General features: G+C 39.3%; 1 pseudogene; it reads left to right on the forward strand.

The window, feature by feature from the left end:
* On the forward strand, positions 14,569-15,302 carry RPL26P21 (ribosomal protein L26 pseudogene 21; annotated as a pseudogene).

Consider the following 16,515-nt stretch of genomic DNA (forward strand, 5'->3'; position numbering starts at 1 on the left):
TTCTTACTCAGTGTATTAGCGTTCTCTAGAGGGACGGAACAAATGGAATAGATATATACATAAAGGAGAGTTTATTAAATATTAACTCACGCAATCACAAGGTCCCACAATAGGCAGTCTGCAGGCTGAGGAGCAAGGAGAGCCAGTCTGAGTTCGAAAACTGAAGAAATTGGAATCCGATGTTGGAGGGCAGGAAACATCCAGCACACCGAAGAAAGATGTAGGCTGGGAGGCAAGGCCAGCCTCTCTTTTCACATTTTTTTTGCCTGCTTATATCCTAGCCTTGTTGGCAGCTGATTAGATTGTGCCCACTCAGATTAAGGGTGGGTCTGCCTTCCCCAGCCCACTGACTCAAATGTTAATCTCCTTTGGCAACACCCACACAGACACACCCAGGATCAATGCTTTGTATCCTTCAATCCAATCAAATTGACACTCAGTATTAACCATCACACTCACAAAGTTGTTTTATGTTTGGAGTCTCTCATTCCTCTTAGGCTATATTACATTTTAGATTCTCTGTTTATAGTATATCATCTTTTTTCTTAGAGTTTCTCTATTTATATGGCTGTACTGTTTTTCTAGGGCTGATGCAGAAAATTCCAGAAACTAGGTGGATTAAAACAACAGAAATTTATTTTCGCACAATTCTGGAGACTAGAAGTCCAAAATCAAGGTGTTGGCAGGACCATTCTGCCAATTTGCCAAGGCAAATTCTGAGGTGCTGGGGATTAGGACTTAAACATGTCATGTTTTGTGAGACACAATTCAACCCGTAACAATTACTGATATTGAGAAACAGTACAGGCTGTGCTCAAGGGCATGGGCATTGGAATGAAAAAGCCCTGGTTCAAGGCCTTGTTCCATCACGAACTGTGACTTCAGGCCATTTCTGTAATTTTTCTATTTATAAAGTAGAAATTATGACAATACCTCAGAATTTTTAGAGAATTAAATAAGGTAATACATCAGTGTGATTAGCATAGTACCTGGCTTATAGCAACTGTCCAGTAAATATTAGCAATTGGCATTATCTTAAGGATATAGGGGACTATTTCTAAATATATTCAGGAATCTCTATTTTGAGCAGTGTAAGAACTAAAACAGTAGGAAGTGGCAAAAGGGTCACCACCTTTAGCCTATGCTGTGTCATCTTTTGAAATTCTGATATTTTTGGTACCGTCTGCCAAAATGATAAAGAGTAACTAGGAAGACTCTTTGCATGGAGAACTGAGAATGTGCCACATGAAAACTCATTCCGAGAGAAGAGGGAGCTATCAATGACGAACTTGATTCCATACTACATTTTATTTTCAGAAGGAAAGAGTGATTCTTAGGATAGCCTCCTGTCAGACTGTCCCTGGCCCCACACTATGAATTTCTACCTAGGTCTTAATGGCTATAGATGACTCTGAGTTAATACCCAAAGAGCAATGTCACTGGAAAGGGGTACAATATACGTTCTTTGAGTGATGACTACCATAAAAGCCCTGACTTCACCACTATGCAATTTATACATGTAACAAAATTACACTTGTATCCTTTAAATGTATGCAAATTAAAAATAAATAAATAGAAATGAAAATTCGGAGCACAACTTGTAGTGTTTTGGTATGCACCTAACAAATTCTAAAACAATATGATGGTATGAGGCATTCTATTCTAAACTAGTACAAATACCTGGGGAACTTTGAGGATCCTTGTAATGCCTGGTGGTCACAAAAGTATCCCTGAAGTGTCAACTTGGTTGACGGAAACTGCAGTAGTCCCTGGGAGAAAAAACATGGAAACAAATCAGTAGTGTAAATAGACGTGGACTGAGCACAGTGGTGCTTAGAGTGCTTAGACTCTTTCATTGGTCCTAGCAAGAACTCTATTTCTGAAAGACTTTTATTATATCTGTTTTACACATGAGGAAAACTAAAAGTTGAAGAGTGGTAAATGTCAAGTCCAAGACCACAGAGCTAATAGGTAGGAAAAAAAAAAGTATTTTAACCCAAGCAGGAGCTCCAGGAGCTGAGAATTTTCTAAAAGGAATATTAGAAACCCTCTAGAGCAGTGGTCAGAAATCTTTTCCTGTAAAAGGCCAAATAGTAAGTATTTTCAGCTTTTGGAGCTGTATGGCTTCTTTTGCAACTACTTAACCATTTTTGCCATGGTAGTACAAAAGCAGCCATAGACATATGTACACAAATGGGCACGGCTGTGTTCCAATAAAAGTTTATTTCCAAAAACAGAAGTCAGCCAGATTTGGCCCACAGGCCCTAGTTTGCTAATCCCTGACTCCTTTTAACTGCTGTGGCAAATGATTTGTTCAGTCTTATTATAGCATCACTTAAGAAAATAGCATTTAAGGCTGCATCCCCACTTTCTCTTCTATTACTGTTAACCTCTCTTAAATTGGTAAGGTGTTAGTAATCTGCACTGATGTATTTCACTTAGTGCATCTAGTCTCCTCGGGTAACAGAGACAGAAACATACCCTTGATGTGACTTTTCCATAATAGATCACTCATTTTTCCACCTCCTGCTGCACCTGTTCATCACCTGCATGCCGCTTGCTTACACTGACCTTCATCGTTTCCTACACCTGTACCTTTTTCTTCTTAGCTACCCTCTATTTTTTTCTGAAAGGTTACTTGGTTTCTGAATTTTTTACTTTAAAAAAAAATTATGTGACTTGAACTTCATTTGCTGTCTTTCCCTTCTTCTGCTCTAATTTTAACACATTTATGTATGCTTATAGCATCTGGGACTATGGCCACACATAATTCTAAGAGCACTTCAAATGGTTAGGAAATTCAGATTTAGTGAGAAAACTCTTATGAGTTCAATTTTATTCAAAAGTTTAGTTGCACTAATACAGCATAGAAACACTGAGAAAGAGAAACAAGATGAAACAACGCACATCTAAAGTGGAAGTAAGCTTACTACATTCCTTAAGGCTTTATTAGAACTGGAAGGAATGTAACCACCAATATATTCACCATTTTCTTTTATGTTTTAAAAAAAAGAACACACACTGGGGCCTATTGGAAGGTGAAGAGTGGGAGGAGTGAGAGGATCAGGAAAAATAACTAATGGGTAGAAGGCTTAATAATAACTGGATGATGAAATAATCTGTACAACAAATCCCCATGACACAAGTTTACCTATGCAGCAAACCTGCACATGTACTCCTGAACTTAAAAGTTTAAAAAGAAAAAGGAAAACTGAAATCAGGAAATTCAGGGTCATTTATTTAACTGGTTATAGAGTTCTTTGGAGAGCTGATTCTAAAATCCAGATCCGCTGATTGACCATCTAAGGGCTCTTTCTAACTTCATGAGACCTAAACATGTGGAACAAGACAGAAGCATTTTCAAAGCGTTTTTTTCTTCTGTTGATCTAACATATTGCATCATTATTCTTGGTTCTGATCCCTCAGGTAAAATGACTGGAACCTGTTTTCTCATCTATTTTCCCGCCCCCCTCCAGTGGTTTACAAACATAAAGGTCAGAGTTGATTAGTTCTTTAAAGAAAGTTCAGTTTTAAAAATAATCTCAAATCAAGGATCCTTCCCTTCTTTTTCAGTAACTTGCAGCTACAGAACAGTCTCAAGGTGAGCTAAGTCTGCCTTTGCCGGTCTTCCTGTCTGTGATGTGTAACTTCACTAAAACCCAGTTCTGAAAATGCCACTCTGCTGCTTACTCATAAACATTCAGAGGCTCCTTACTGCCTCCTCAGACTACAAACATTTCCTTGTCTTCAAGTTTTCCTTGTTCTTTCCTTCACATAAAAACAAAACAAAACAAAGCTCTGTATCTCTCTCTCTACCATTATTCTTATCAAAACCCTCTCATTGGTTTGCTAGAGCTGCGGTAAGAGAGGACCACAAACTAGGTGGCTTCAAAACCAGAAATTTGTTGCTTCACAGTTCTAGAGATCAGAAGTCTGAAATCAAGGTTAGCAAATTTCCAGAAGTCTATTTGAAAGAGTTGGTTCCTTCTGAGGGTTGTGAAGGAGAATCTGTTCATACCTTTGCCTTAGTTCCTGGTGGTTTGCTGGTGACGTTTGGCATTCACTGGCTTGTGGCAACATATATCCAATCTTCACATGGTCTTCTCCCTGTGTCTCTCTGTCCAAATTTTCCCTTCTTATGAGGACACTAGTCAGATTAGATTAGAGCCCACCTTAATGACTTCTTAATTTGACTACATCTGCAAAGGCCTCTTCTCCAAATAAAATCACTTTCTCAGGCAAGAGGAGTTATCCTTTCAACATATGACACACATGTGACTTTGCTATGAATTTGTAGAGAGACAAAATTCAGCCCATAATAGCCCTCTTTGTATTTCCAGGCCTTATACAGAAGCAATATCTTCCATGAAACATTTCCTACCTCTAGGCTGACATGTTTTCCTCTGCTGAGCCTCTTAGTAACCATTCCTTCTTTCCACTTCATGACCAATTTCTTGAAATCAGGGATTGTGTATTTCTCAATTTGTTACTTTACCCCAAAGTCTATCATGTTGCCTGGTATTCAACAGACATCAAAAAATGTTTGCTGTAAGATGGGCAGTGTGGCTCATACCTGTAATCCCAGCCTTTTGGAAAGCCAAGAAAGGCGGATCACTGAGCTCAGGAGTCTGAAACCAGCCTAGCCAACATGGCAAAACCGCGTCTCTACAATAAAAGAAAAAAACAAATACAAAAAGTTATCCGGGCTTGGCAACGCAAGCCTGTAGTCTCAGCTACTTGAGAAGCAGAGGTGACAGGATGATCTGAGCCCAAGAGGTCGAGGCTGCAACGAGCTGAGATAGCGCCACTGCACCCCAGCCTGGGCAACAGAGACCCTGTCTCACCCAAAAAACCAAAAAAAAAAAAGGCCGGGCGCGGTGGCTCACGCCTTAATCCCAGCACTTTGGGAGGCCGAGGCGGGCGGATCACGAGGTCAGGAGATTGCGACCATTCTGGCTAACACGGTGAAACCCCGTGTCTACTAAAGATACAAAAAATTAGCCGGGCCTGGTGGCGGGCGCCTGTAGTCCCAGCTACTCGGGAGGCTGACGCAGGAGAATGGCGTGAACCCGGGAGGCGGAGCTTGCAGTGAGCCGGGATCGCGCCACTACACTCCAGCCTGGGAGAGAGCGAGACTCCGTCTCAAAAAAAAAAAAAAAAAAAAAAGTCTGCTGGGTTGAAGAGATTTTGTCTTCTTTTGTCTTCTATACTCTAGAGATGACAGGGATTTTCATGCAGGTTAAGATCCAAGCAAGGCCTCTACCCTTCTAGGTCATATTTTCACCATAGTGATGAGAAATAGTACAGTATTGATTAAGAGAATGGACTTGAGCCCTAATTCTGATTTTGTCACATATGTCCATATTTATATAACCTGATAACATTAGCCTCTCACAAATTTCCCTCAAATTTTCTAATTTATAAAGCATGACGTGTAAACCCCACCCTAAAGGATTTGACTGAAAGTTGATTAAGATAATATATGCAACGTCTTAACCAGCGATAGCTAATAATACTGTTGTCTAGGACACCTAGATAACCTATTGCTATTTATAGTGCTGACAAGCTTTTTAAAGGCTTTCAAGAAGTTTTTAAAGACTTTAACATGTTTATAGATCACAGAGAAGCCTCCATACACACAGAGAAACTATTTGAGCTTGATTCATGAAGAGGAAAAAAAAATAAGAGACACTTTATATAACCTTAAGGAAACAGTGGTCACTTCTGGTCAAGGAGAACAGATAGCAATTGTGCAGAATTAAACTACAGATCCTACCTTTGACTATTTAGTCACGCCTCACAATTAGCCAGAAGAGCCATTTTCAAATATCAAGGGCAATACAAATAGAGTTGTTATCATCATTCATTCTTCAAAGCAATGACCTTTACTTTGGGCTAGTTTCTTTGGCAAGGAAGTTTGGCATGAAGCTGCTAAAGTAACATTAAACGGCAAAAAATCTGTTCTTGTGACTATGCTATCTTAATGGCAATTTAACAAAACACCTAATTTCAGGCTCAGAGGTAAAAATGCTTAAGCAACCCACCTGAGACTCCCAAGCGGCATATTTATCAAAACAAGTTAAAGTCACCTTCTGAATAATTGTTGTGGAGGGGTTTTCACAGAGCAGAGAGGCACATTTTCTGTGGATTGAACGATTGATCACTAAGTTCTAGTAACAGGTGCATCTTGCTTCTGGGGCCTTGAAACATGACAGGCTGTAGAAAAACTATTAAAATCGCTTTGCTAACAAAGAAAAATCAATTGTTCTCCACAAGGAGGTGCCCTCTGGCGCAATCAATATACAATAGTACAATGCTGGGCTGTAAAGCCTGTGAGCAGATTTAAGCTTTTGATTAGGTAAAAGGTGGAGAGGGGAGCTGTTTTTCATCTCTGATGGACTCAGAAAGATAAAGATATATTTTGCTATAAGTTGCATTTGGTTTTTCTTCAGTAGATCAACTTGTTAAAAGCACAGCTGGGTTTTTTTGAGTATAGTGCTTTGTAAAGTAGCATCTTACCTGTTTTCAGGTCAAGGTATGTGGTAGAGAGCTGGAGTTGGAAAGGGGCATACTTATGAGACTAATCCAAGAATCAAAATGGAAGGACACATGGGAACAAGAACACTATCAGTTCCACTGTTATGAATTGAAAAGTATATAATGTCTGTTATTTTTCTGCTACATATAAAAAATATATGAGTTTATATGGCAGTCAGGTACTGGAACTTTTTGTGCATTTTTCTACCAACAAATCAATAATCATCTGTTATTTACAGACATATGTTTCAAGAATAGAAAAATGGCATTTACAACCTCTGTATTTTCATAAAGCTTTGCCTGTGTGCCAACAATATTTGAAGCAGATACAAAACTCAAAATAAAACTCAATTCAGGCTATTCAGACAGGGGAAAAGCACACTCTCAGTAACAAAGAACTTTATGCTGAGAACATGAAATGCTTTTTCACTCAAAGGAATGTTATAACTGAATAGTGTAGACAAAACCCATTGAACAATCGTCAGTAACTTTTTGTAGTTAGAATGTGTATACATGAACATATTTGAAATTCCATCTTTAAAAATGTTAAACGGTCTAGATTTTATAAAATGAGCAACATAATTCAGTATTTTCACAGCAAATTAATTATATGCATTAATGGAGCATACAACAGAAGTAAAGATGTTTTATAATTTGCATGGTGTTGGGGAATTCACATTATTTAGAAGGTAATTTTTGTTCAATATAAATCATCTCATAAGTATCGTTCACTAAAACTTCCAATTTCTTGAGTTTAACCAGATTAATCTTGTCCCTCTGAGTTTGTTTCAGCCACAGAGAAGTCAAGTAAATTGCCAGACATAAAGCCATGCAATTTTCATTCCAGGCATCCAAAATAAAGATCTGGGAGTCTGACAGGTAATATTAGGGACTGAGGCCAACATTCAAAGATAGCAGTGTAGTAGAAAGTCAAGAGCCAGAAGAGATTCGAAAGAGGGTTTGGCTGTGTACTGTTGTCCACTCTTCAACTGGAACAGCTTAGACATAGCTATCAATGATCCCTCATCTGCATCTCCAGAAGAGGGCTGTATTCACTTCTGACCAGACACCCTCAGAGTCCATACATTTTCCTAGTGAAATACTAAAGAAAGTTCTTAGGCAGATGAAACTGATGAAAGAGGGAAGCGTAGAAATGAAGAAAGAATATGTAGAAGAGCAGCAGTAAGGATAAAGCTGTAGGGAAACCTAAATGAAAGAAATCCAATGTTTAGGCGTGTGTGTGTGTGTGTCTTTGTGTGCACACATGCACATGCATGTGTGCAGTTTGGAAGTCATTGCATTGTCCGAAAATAGTAAAAGTCTTAATTTCCATTAGACTTTCATTAGAGAGTATCATAATCTCTAGATGGATATTAATATGTTAAGGAATGTTATAATAGTAAAAATAGTAAAATAATGTGTCACTAATAGGCAAATGAGTATAGAATTTAATAATTAATCCAAAAATTTGCATGGAACAGATGACAAATAGAAAGCAAATTGGAAGATGCTAGATTTAAACACAGGTCATATAAACACTTTCAATGTAAATGAACTAAAATTACAATTAAAAATGAAGATTAAAATAATCTAAAGAAACTAAACTCGATGCTGCTTTTGAGACATTTTCAATTTTAATATTCAAAAACATTTTAAAAAGATGATAAAAATTACTGAGCAACACTAAAAGAAGCTTGAAGCTACACTAATATCAGACACTGCAGACTCTAAGCCAAGGCACATTATTAAAGATGGAAGAGATATTTCAAGGCACTAGGAAAATATAATTCTAAATGTGTATACACCTAATAACATAGCCTCAAAAGATGTAATGCAGAATTTTACTGAACTACAAGAAGACATAGTCAGTTTCACAAATACATTGAGAGATTTTAAGATACCCCTCTCAGCAACTGATAGGACAAGCAGATACATCAGTAAGGTTATAGAAGAGTTGAAAAACTTGATTAACTATGTTGACATAATTGACAAATATAGTGTACCCAACCCAACAATTGCAGAACACAGGCTCAAAGTAAAGGGAGTTGATTTGGCTTAGTATAACAAGGAAGTCTGCACTTACATCTTCAGGTTTCAGATATCCTTGGACCCAGGGGTTTAAAAATATAATATGAAATTTAAAATTTTTTTCTGTCTCATTTCTCCTTAATTTTGCATGTTGAATCTTATTATCTCCTACACAAACAAGCTGTCTTTTTAAGACCTGAGAGTATGGTGTCAAGCAACTGTAAGTTGCTCCTCATTTTTGTAGGTTGATTTAGGAACCTGCAGCTTTACTAAATTTGTATTAGTTCTAACAGTTTAACAATGCTGGACATTAAGGTTGCTCTTTTCTTTCTTTTTTTTTTTTTTTTTTTTTTTTTTTTTTGAGATGGAGTCTCGCTCTGTCGCCCAGGCTGGAGTGCAGTGGCACGATCTGGGCTCACTGCAAGCTCCGCCTCCCGGGTTCACGCCATTCTCCTGCCTCAGCCTCCCGAGTAGCTGGGACTACCGGCGCCCGCCGCCACGCCCGGCTAATTTTTTTGTATTTTTAGTAGAGATGGGGTTTCACCGTGTTAGCCAGGATGGTGTCGATCTCCTGACCTCGTGATCCGCCCGCCTCGGCCTCCCAAAGTGCTGGGATTACAGGCTTGAGCCACTGCGCCTGGCCTACTCTTCTTTTTATATTCATTTTGATCCTATACTTTCTGTGTCTCTCTATATACCCTACTAGACTGTTGTTCTTGTTGCCTTCTGCTGTTTCCTTCTCTCATTCTTTCTCTGTGTTGCTGCCATCAAATCTAAACACGTAACTGGTGTTTCCACTTTCTCCTGCTATGGCTACACCACTATGTTTATCCCCTTCTCATGCCCACAGTTATGCCTAGGTCTGGAAGTACATTGGGATTCTATGATTGTCTGGATATGAGATATTATATTCACTCTAAGAAAAATTATTTTTCCTCCAGGAGTAGAAAGAAAACAATGTTCCCAGGCCTTTTCCAGTGTTTCTCCTAATCCCACAGTATATTTACATCTCCCTGTAGCTAGAAATAAGTCAATGACTCTAATATTCAATAAACCACTCTGAACTCCCATAGTCACTTACTTTAACTAAAAAGATTTCATTGATTTGTTTTTGCATGGTTACCTTTTATTCAGAGATATGGCTTTGCTATTTTTCTCTAAAATGACCTTGACATGATTTGCCTCCTGGTTGGTTGAACATCGGCAAAAGTTAAATAATGGCACAGCAGCTTATTCTGTGACCCAGAATATTCCCTTCTAAAAATTTAGCCAAAAAACTATCAGATAAAAATACAAACATAAATATATATTTCATAATGGTGCAAAATAAATGAAAACAACCCGGAAAAAACTAAATACCAAATATTAGAAAACTAGTTAAATAAATTGCAGGACATCTGCTGGGTGCAATGGCTCAAGCCTGTAATCCCAGCACTTTGGGAGGCTAAGGTGGGTGGATCACAAGGTCGGGAGATTGAGACCATCTTAGCCAACGTGGCGAAACCCTGTCTCTACTAAAATATAAAAAAAAATCTACCTGGGCATGGTGGCGCACACCTGTAGTCTCAGCTACTTGGGAGGCTGAGGTGAGGCAGGGGAATTGCTTGAACCCGGGAGGCAGAGGTTGCAGTGAGCCAAGATCACACCACTGCACTCCAGCCTGGTGGGAGAGCGAGACTCCGTCTCTAAAAAAAAAAAAAAAAATTGTAGGATATCTATACAATTAACTTTGACATAATCTTTAAAAATTATACCGGCCAGGCATACTGGCTCATGGCTCAATGCCTATAATCCCAATACTTTGGGAGGCCAAGGCAGGAGGATTGCTCTAGCCCCAGCCTAGGAAACATAGCCAGACCCCATCTCTACAGAAAAATAACAAATTAGCTGGGCATGGTGGTGCAAACCTGTAGTCCCAGCTACTTGGGAGGCTGAGGTGGGAGTATCACTTGAGCCTGAAGGTGGAGGCTGCAGTGAGCCATGATTGTGCCACTTCACTCCAGCCTGGGCGGCAGAGTGAGACCCTTGTCTAATAAATAAATAAATAAATAAAATTTATACTGTACAACATTTAAGAACATAGAAAATTGTTCAGGTCAATAACAGGCTGTCAGTTGGTTATTCCAGAATTACTTCTAGGTTAGATAGCAAAAGCTGGGACTAGACAGAATTTCTTCCTCCAAAGGCAAAGTGAAAGCAGAAACAAAAGCAAAAACTAGAAATGTTCTTGAGGGAAACTGCAGACAACATACATGGATTTGAAAATACTTTTCTGTTTTTTACCTTTTCAGGGCCAAAATCAGTTTGACACAGTGCCTTGTGTATTAATAACTTTCCAATAATAATATACCTTTATAAGAAGAGCCTCCCCATGGCCACTTCCCAGGTTCAGAGCTTCACCATATTCAGCCTCCCTGCTTGTCACACTAAGGATTCGACCAAGGACCTTACCAAGCTCAGGGAGGAGCATCAGACTCTTTCAGCAGTGTATACAGTTTATCGTCCTCTTCCGTAACCTATCACTGTTGGTCAACTTTCTTAAGTCATCCAGCTATCCATTCCAAGCAAAGTGATGAACCTCACACAAATCCTCCTTTTATTTCCTCCAGCCCATGGACAAAGTTGGGATATATCTTATGCCAGAGACAAAATGATTGCGTTCTCTCGAAGCTGCATGAAAAGGCTATATTACAGCCTATGCATAAGAGCCTTAATATACCTGTGAAAGGTAAATAAATGCAAGTCAGATCTGAAACACCCAGTCAACACAGCCCAGGATAATTTTGCAATTGGTTTTCATGTCTTTTATCTTCTGCATCTAGATGACAAAGATAGGGGACACTAACAGACCCTGTATTAGTCAGTGTTCTCTAAAGGGACAGAACTAATAGATTAGATGTATATATAAAGGGGAGCTCACCAAGGAATATTGACTCACACAATCACAAGGTGAAATCCCGCTATAGATGGTCTGCAAGCTGAGGAGCAGGGAAGCCAGTCCGAGTCCCAGAACCTCAAAAGTAGGGAAGCCGACAGTGCAGCCTTCAGTCTGTGGCAGGAGGCCAGAGACCCCCTGGAAAACCACTGGTGTAAGTCCAAAGTCCAAAAGCTGAAGAACTTGGAGTTGGTGTTCGAGGGCAGGAGGCATCCAGCACGGGAGATAGGTGAAGGCCAGAAGACTCAGCAAGTCAAGTCCTTCCATGTTCTTCTGCCTGCTTTTATCCTAGCTGCACTGGCAGTGGATTAGGTGGTGTCCACCCAGACTGAGGGTGGGTCTGCCTCTTCCCATCCACTGACTCAAATGTTAATCTCCTTTGACAACACCCTCACAGACACACCCAGGTAGAATATTTTGCATCCTTCGATCCAATCAAGTTGACACTCTTTTTTTTTTTGAAATGGAGTAAAGCTTTGTCGCCCAGGCTGGAGCGCAGTGGTGCGATCTCGGCTCACTGCAACCTCCGCCTCCCGAGTTCAAGTGATTCTCCTGCCTCAGCCTCCTGAGTAGCTGGGATTACAGGCACATGCCACCATGGCCAGCTAATTTTTGTGTTTTTAGTAGAGATGGGTTTTCACTATGTTGGGCAGACTGGTCTTGAACTCCTGACCTCGTGATCTGCCCGCCTCCGCATTCCAAAGTGCTGGGATTACAGGTGTGAGCCACCACCTGGCTGACACTCATTATTAACCATCACAGACTCATTAGTACCTTTCCTGGGCCACATGCAAACGAAAAGATTTGCTCTAAACTGCCAATTGATTTACACCTTCTCCTCTTCACATCTATACACACAGGAAATTTAGAATTCCATTGTTCCACTGTCCTCTTGTGTGCTTATCAAACTGGTACTGGAACACGATTCTTCAATTTGCTTGATATTTATTTATTTATTTATTTATTTTTTATTTTTTTGAGATGGAGTCTTGCTCTGTCGCCCAGACAAGTGGTGCAGTGGTGCGATCTCAGCTCACTACAAGCTCTGCCTCCCGGGTTCAAGCCATTCTCCTGCCTCAGCCTCCCGAGTAGCTGGGACCACGGGTGCCCGCCACCACACTCAGCTAATTTTTTTTTGTATTTTTAGTAGAGTTGGGGTTTCACCATGTTAGCCCAGATGGTCTCAATCTCCTGACCTCGTGATCTGCCCATCTCGGCCTCCCAAAGTGCTGGGATTACAGGCATGATATATTTATTTTATTAAATTATATCTTGTAACCGGTGAAATTTAAACAACTTATTATTTCAATCAGTTATAAGACACCAATGCAGAATACAGATAAAAGAGGGAGATACAGTTGAGCGTGAATTTTAGAAGACTTTCCAGAGCTGTGTTACATGTTCATTTCTGCCACTGAAGATACCTCCAGATATTTGAAGGATCTCTATCAGATGACACTGGGTACTAATGCTAACCTGCCTAAGCTGAAGGTCACAAACAAGTTCAAGAAAAAAGTCACTGTAGGCTTACCTGTATTAACTCTTATGTTCATTTTACTTATATTCTCCAGTTGTGTTTTCAAAGGAGCTAATGTCTGTAAATCTCTTTATTTTCATTCTCAATTCAAATTCCTGGTTGAAAAACACTCCTGGAGTGCATGTTTTATATAATTCTGTGCAATTAAAATTTTATTCTCTAGCAAGAGGTTTTTAGTAGCTGAACACAAAATGGTAACTGACAAATTACAATCAACAAATTCACCTTTTACCTCCACTTCTTTGTATCTGGTCATTATAAAGATTATTTAAAAATTTACCTTATATTGTCCATCTTTTCATATCCTATGATTGGGACTCCCGTGAAGCTTTATACAACTAAATAACACAGGCATCTATGATTTTCTCCAACTGGACAGATCAGTTTTAAGATCTATGGGCTTGGGGGTAAAGTAGATTTGCTGCTCCCTGGTTACCAGCTTCTCTGAGTCCACTGAATACCCCTCCAACACACACAACAGATTATATGAAGAGAGTTTATTTCTTACAGATAGGCAACAAAAAACAACAGAAACCTAGAATTCCTCATATTTCAGTCCCCCAGTGCTCAGGAAAGCTGTCAAAAATGGATGGAGTCTCATCTGCACATACCCTGCCTGAACTGTAGCTGAGGAACCCCAGAAAGCAGCCCACCTTAGGTTTTATACCTCAGGGTGATGGGATGTGCTGGGCTGAAGTGTTGAAGACATCCTGTTCTCCTAGGGGACTGAAACACAGCCTAGGCTGTTCCAGCCAGTCCCTTGCTACCTCAAGATGTTGCATTCCCAGCACATTCTATGATTAATTTTGAGAACCATAAGCAAGAAAGTGGGGAGAGCTGGATCAGTCCAAGATCACTTAGAGAACTATCTTGCAATCACCACTTACAGCTGAAGTTGATTTAATTTACTTCTTTGTGAAAGTAGAAGCACTTTTTTCATCTTGTTCATTTTACTCTTGATGGTATTTATAAATCATATTACAGACTCCCATGATTCTGAATAACATTAACATTAGTAGTCTATCTGGAAAATTCCATTAGTCACTAAAATTGTGGACTTTCCTGACACTATTCCTATGGACACAACCAATACCTGAATTTTCATGATATTCCTTAGAATGTATTGGTCGTATTTTCCTCCTTTTAAAATTTCACATCTAAGTTAACCAACTTTGCCTGGTCAACCTCATTTACTTTCCTGAATTCTAGAATTTAGCAAATGAGTTCATTTTTATTTGCTTCACATGTCCATGTTTTTGATCATGCTCTGTTTAACCACCAGTGAGTTTCTATTCATAACTCAGTCACTAGCTCATGTATTATCTTCCTCACTAACTGTCAAAGAATTATTCACTCCATTTATAGTCTTGTATTTTTTTTATATGATAAGTTGATTGACGTGCTTCCCCTGTTACATTATAAACTCTGAGAGCAAGGACCTCATCTTATTCTGCTCTGTATTTTGAGCATCTATTACACTGGATGACACAGAGGTGAAGATACGTAACTGTTAGAAATGAATAGATGTGCCTTTGCAGCCATCATTGAAGCGGGAGCAGCCAAAATGAAGTTCAATCCCTTTGTGACTTCCGACCGAAGCAAGAACCGCAAAAGGCATTTCAAAGCACCTTCCCACATTCGCAGGAAGATTATGTCTTCCCCACTTTCTGAAGAGCTGAGACAGAAGTACAACGTGCGATCCATGGCATCCGAAAGAATGATGAAGTTAGGCTTGTACCAGGACACTACAAAGGTCAGCAAATTGGCAAAGCAGTCCTGGTTTACAGGAAAAAATATGTCACCTACATTGAATGGGTACAGCGGGAAAAAGCTAATGGCTCAGCTGTCCATGGAGGCATTCACCCCAGCAAGGTGGTTATCACTAGGCTAAAACTGGACAAAGACCACAAAAAGATTCTTTTAAAAAAGAAAATTATTATACTTTAAGTTCTGGGATACATGTGCAGAATGTGCAGGTTTGTTACATAGGTATACACGTGCCATGGTGGTTTGCTGCACCCATCAATCCATCATCTACATTAGGTATTTCTCCTAATGCTATCCCTCTTCTAGCCCCCCACCCACCCACCCACCAACAGGCCCTGGTGTGTGATGTTCCCCTCCCTGTGTCCCGCAAAAAGATTCTTGAATGGAAAGCCAAATCTCACCAAGTAGGAAAGGAAACGGGCAAATACAAGGAAGAAACAATTAAGAAGATGCAGGGACAAAGTAATCTTATATACAAGCTTTGATTAAAACTTGAAATGAAAAAAAAAAAAGAAAGAAACGAATAGATGCACTACCCTGAAGCCAGTTAAGAACCAGGTAATTACTGATCTGGAAGAACACCTGATTTGGAGACTTCTTCATGTTACCACCCTACTGAGAGGTAGTGTGAAGGATCAGGACTAAGTTTCCCAGGATTTATTCTGAACTTGATGTGTATGCATCTCAGCTTATGCTGATCTACTCTGTTAGACTCCTGTCCTAGTCTTACATTGCAGTGTTTCCTTTTCCCCATGGGAGTCAAGGATATAGAGTTGTGGAAGAGAATGTACCAATCAAATACAGAAACTCTAAATTCTGGCCAGGATCTGATACAGAGTGTATTCTGAATAAATATTTGACAATGTAATTATATACCCATAAGGTTATCAAGCTGTCTAACAGTCCTTGATATATGACAAACAGAAGAGCAAAATAACACAGAGAGACATTTGAATGCTATCTGAGCCATACTTTCTTCCAAACTGGTACTAAATAATAAATTTTTTAAATACCAGTTTTATAAAAGAAGAAGAAGAAAATACTTTTCTTCTGTGACTCAATAATATAAATAGCATTTGTGATTTTCAGTTCCAAACTGAGCTCAGATTCTATTGGCCACTAGTAAAACACTACTCGTGGGTAATAAATTCATTGGCTAAACTTATAAACCAAGTTAAAGCTAAACAATTAGTTGATTACTTTCTACTCATGTTTTACTAGTGGCCAATAGAGTCTGAATTCCATTTTGAATTTAAAAATCACAACTATTTATCCTAAAATTGTTTCAACTCAAAACCAGTACATGTGTCTGGTGCACCAGTCACCTGAAACAGAAGACATTTTAAAGCACATTTATAGTTAAAAAAAAAAAAGAAAGAAAGAAAAAACAAAACAAACACGCGGAGAAGAAGAATTCAGAAGAGACATCGCGAAGAGCAAAATTTTTTATTGTCTTTTTGCTTTCTCTTGAAATGTTGCTTTCTTTTAAATTTTATTTTAAGTTCCAGGACACATGTTCAGGTCATTCAGGTTTGTTACACAGGTAAACATGTGCCATGGTGGTTTGCTGCATCTAACAACCCATCACCTAGGAATTAAGTCCTGCATGCATTAGCTCTTTATCCTGATGCTTTCTCTGCCCCTGCCCCCCACCCACAACATGCCCAAGTGCGTGTTGTTCCCCTTTCTGTGTCCATGTGTTCTCATTGTT

Source organism: Homo sapiens, chromosome 7 (genome assembly GCF_000001405.40).
Source record: "Homo sapiens chromosome 7, GRCh38.p14 Primary Assembly".
NCBI classification, from domain to species: domain Eukaryota; kingdom Metazoa; phylum Chordata; class Mammalia; order Primates; family Hominidae; genus Homo; species Homo sapiens.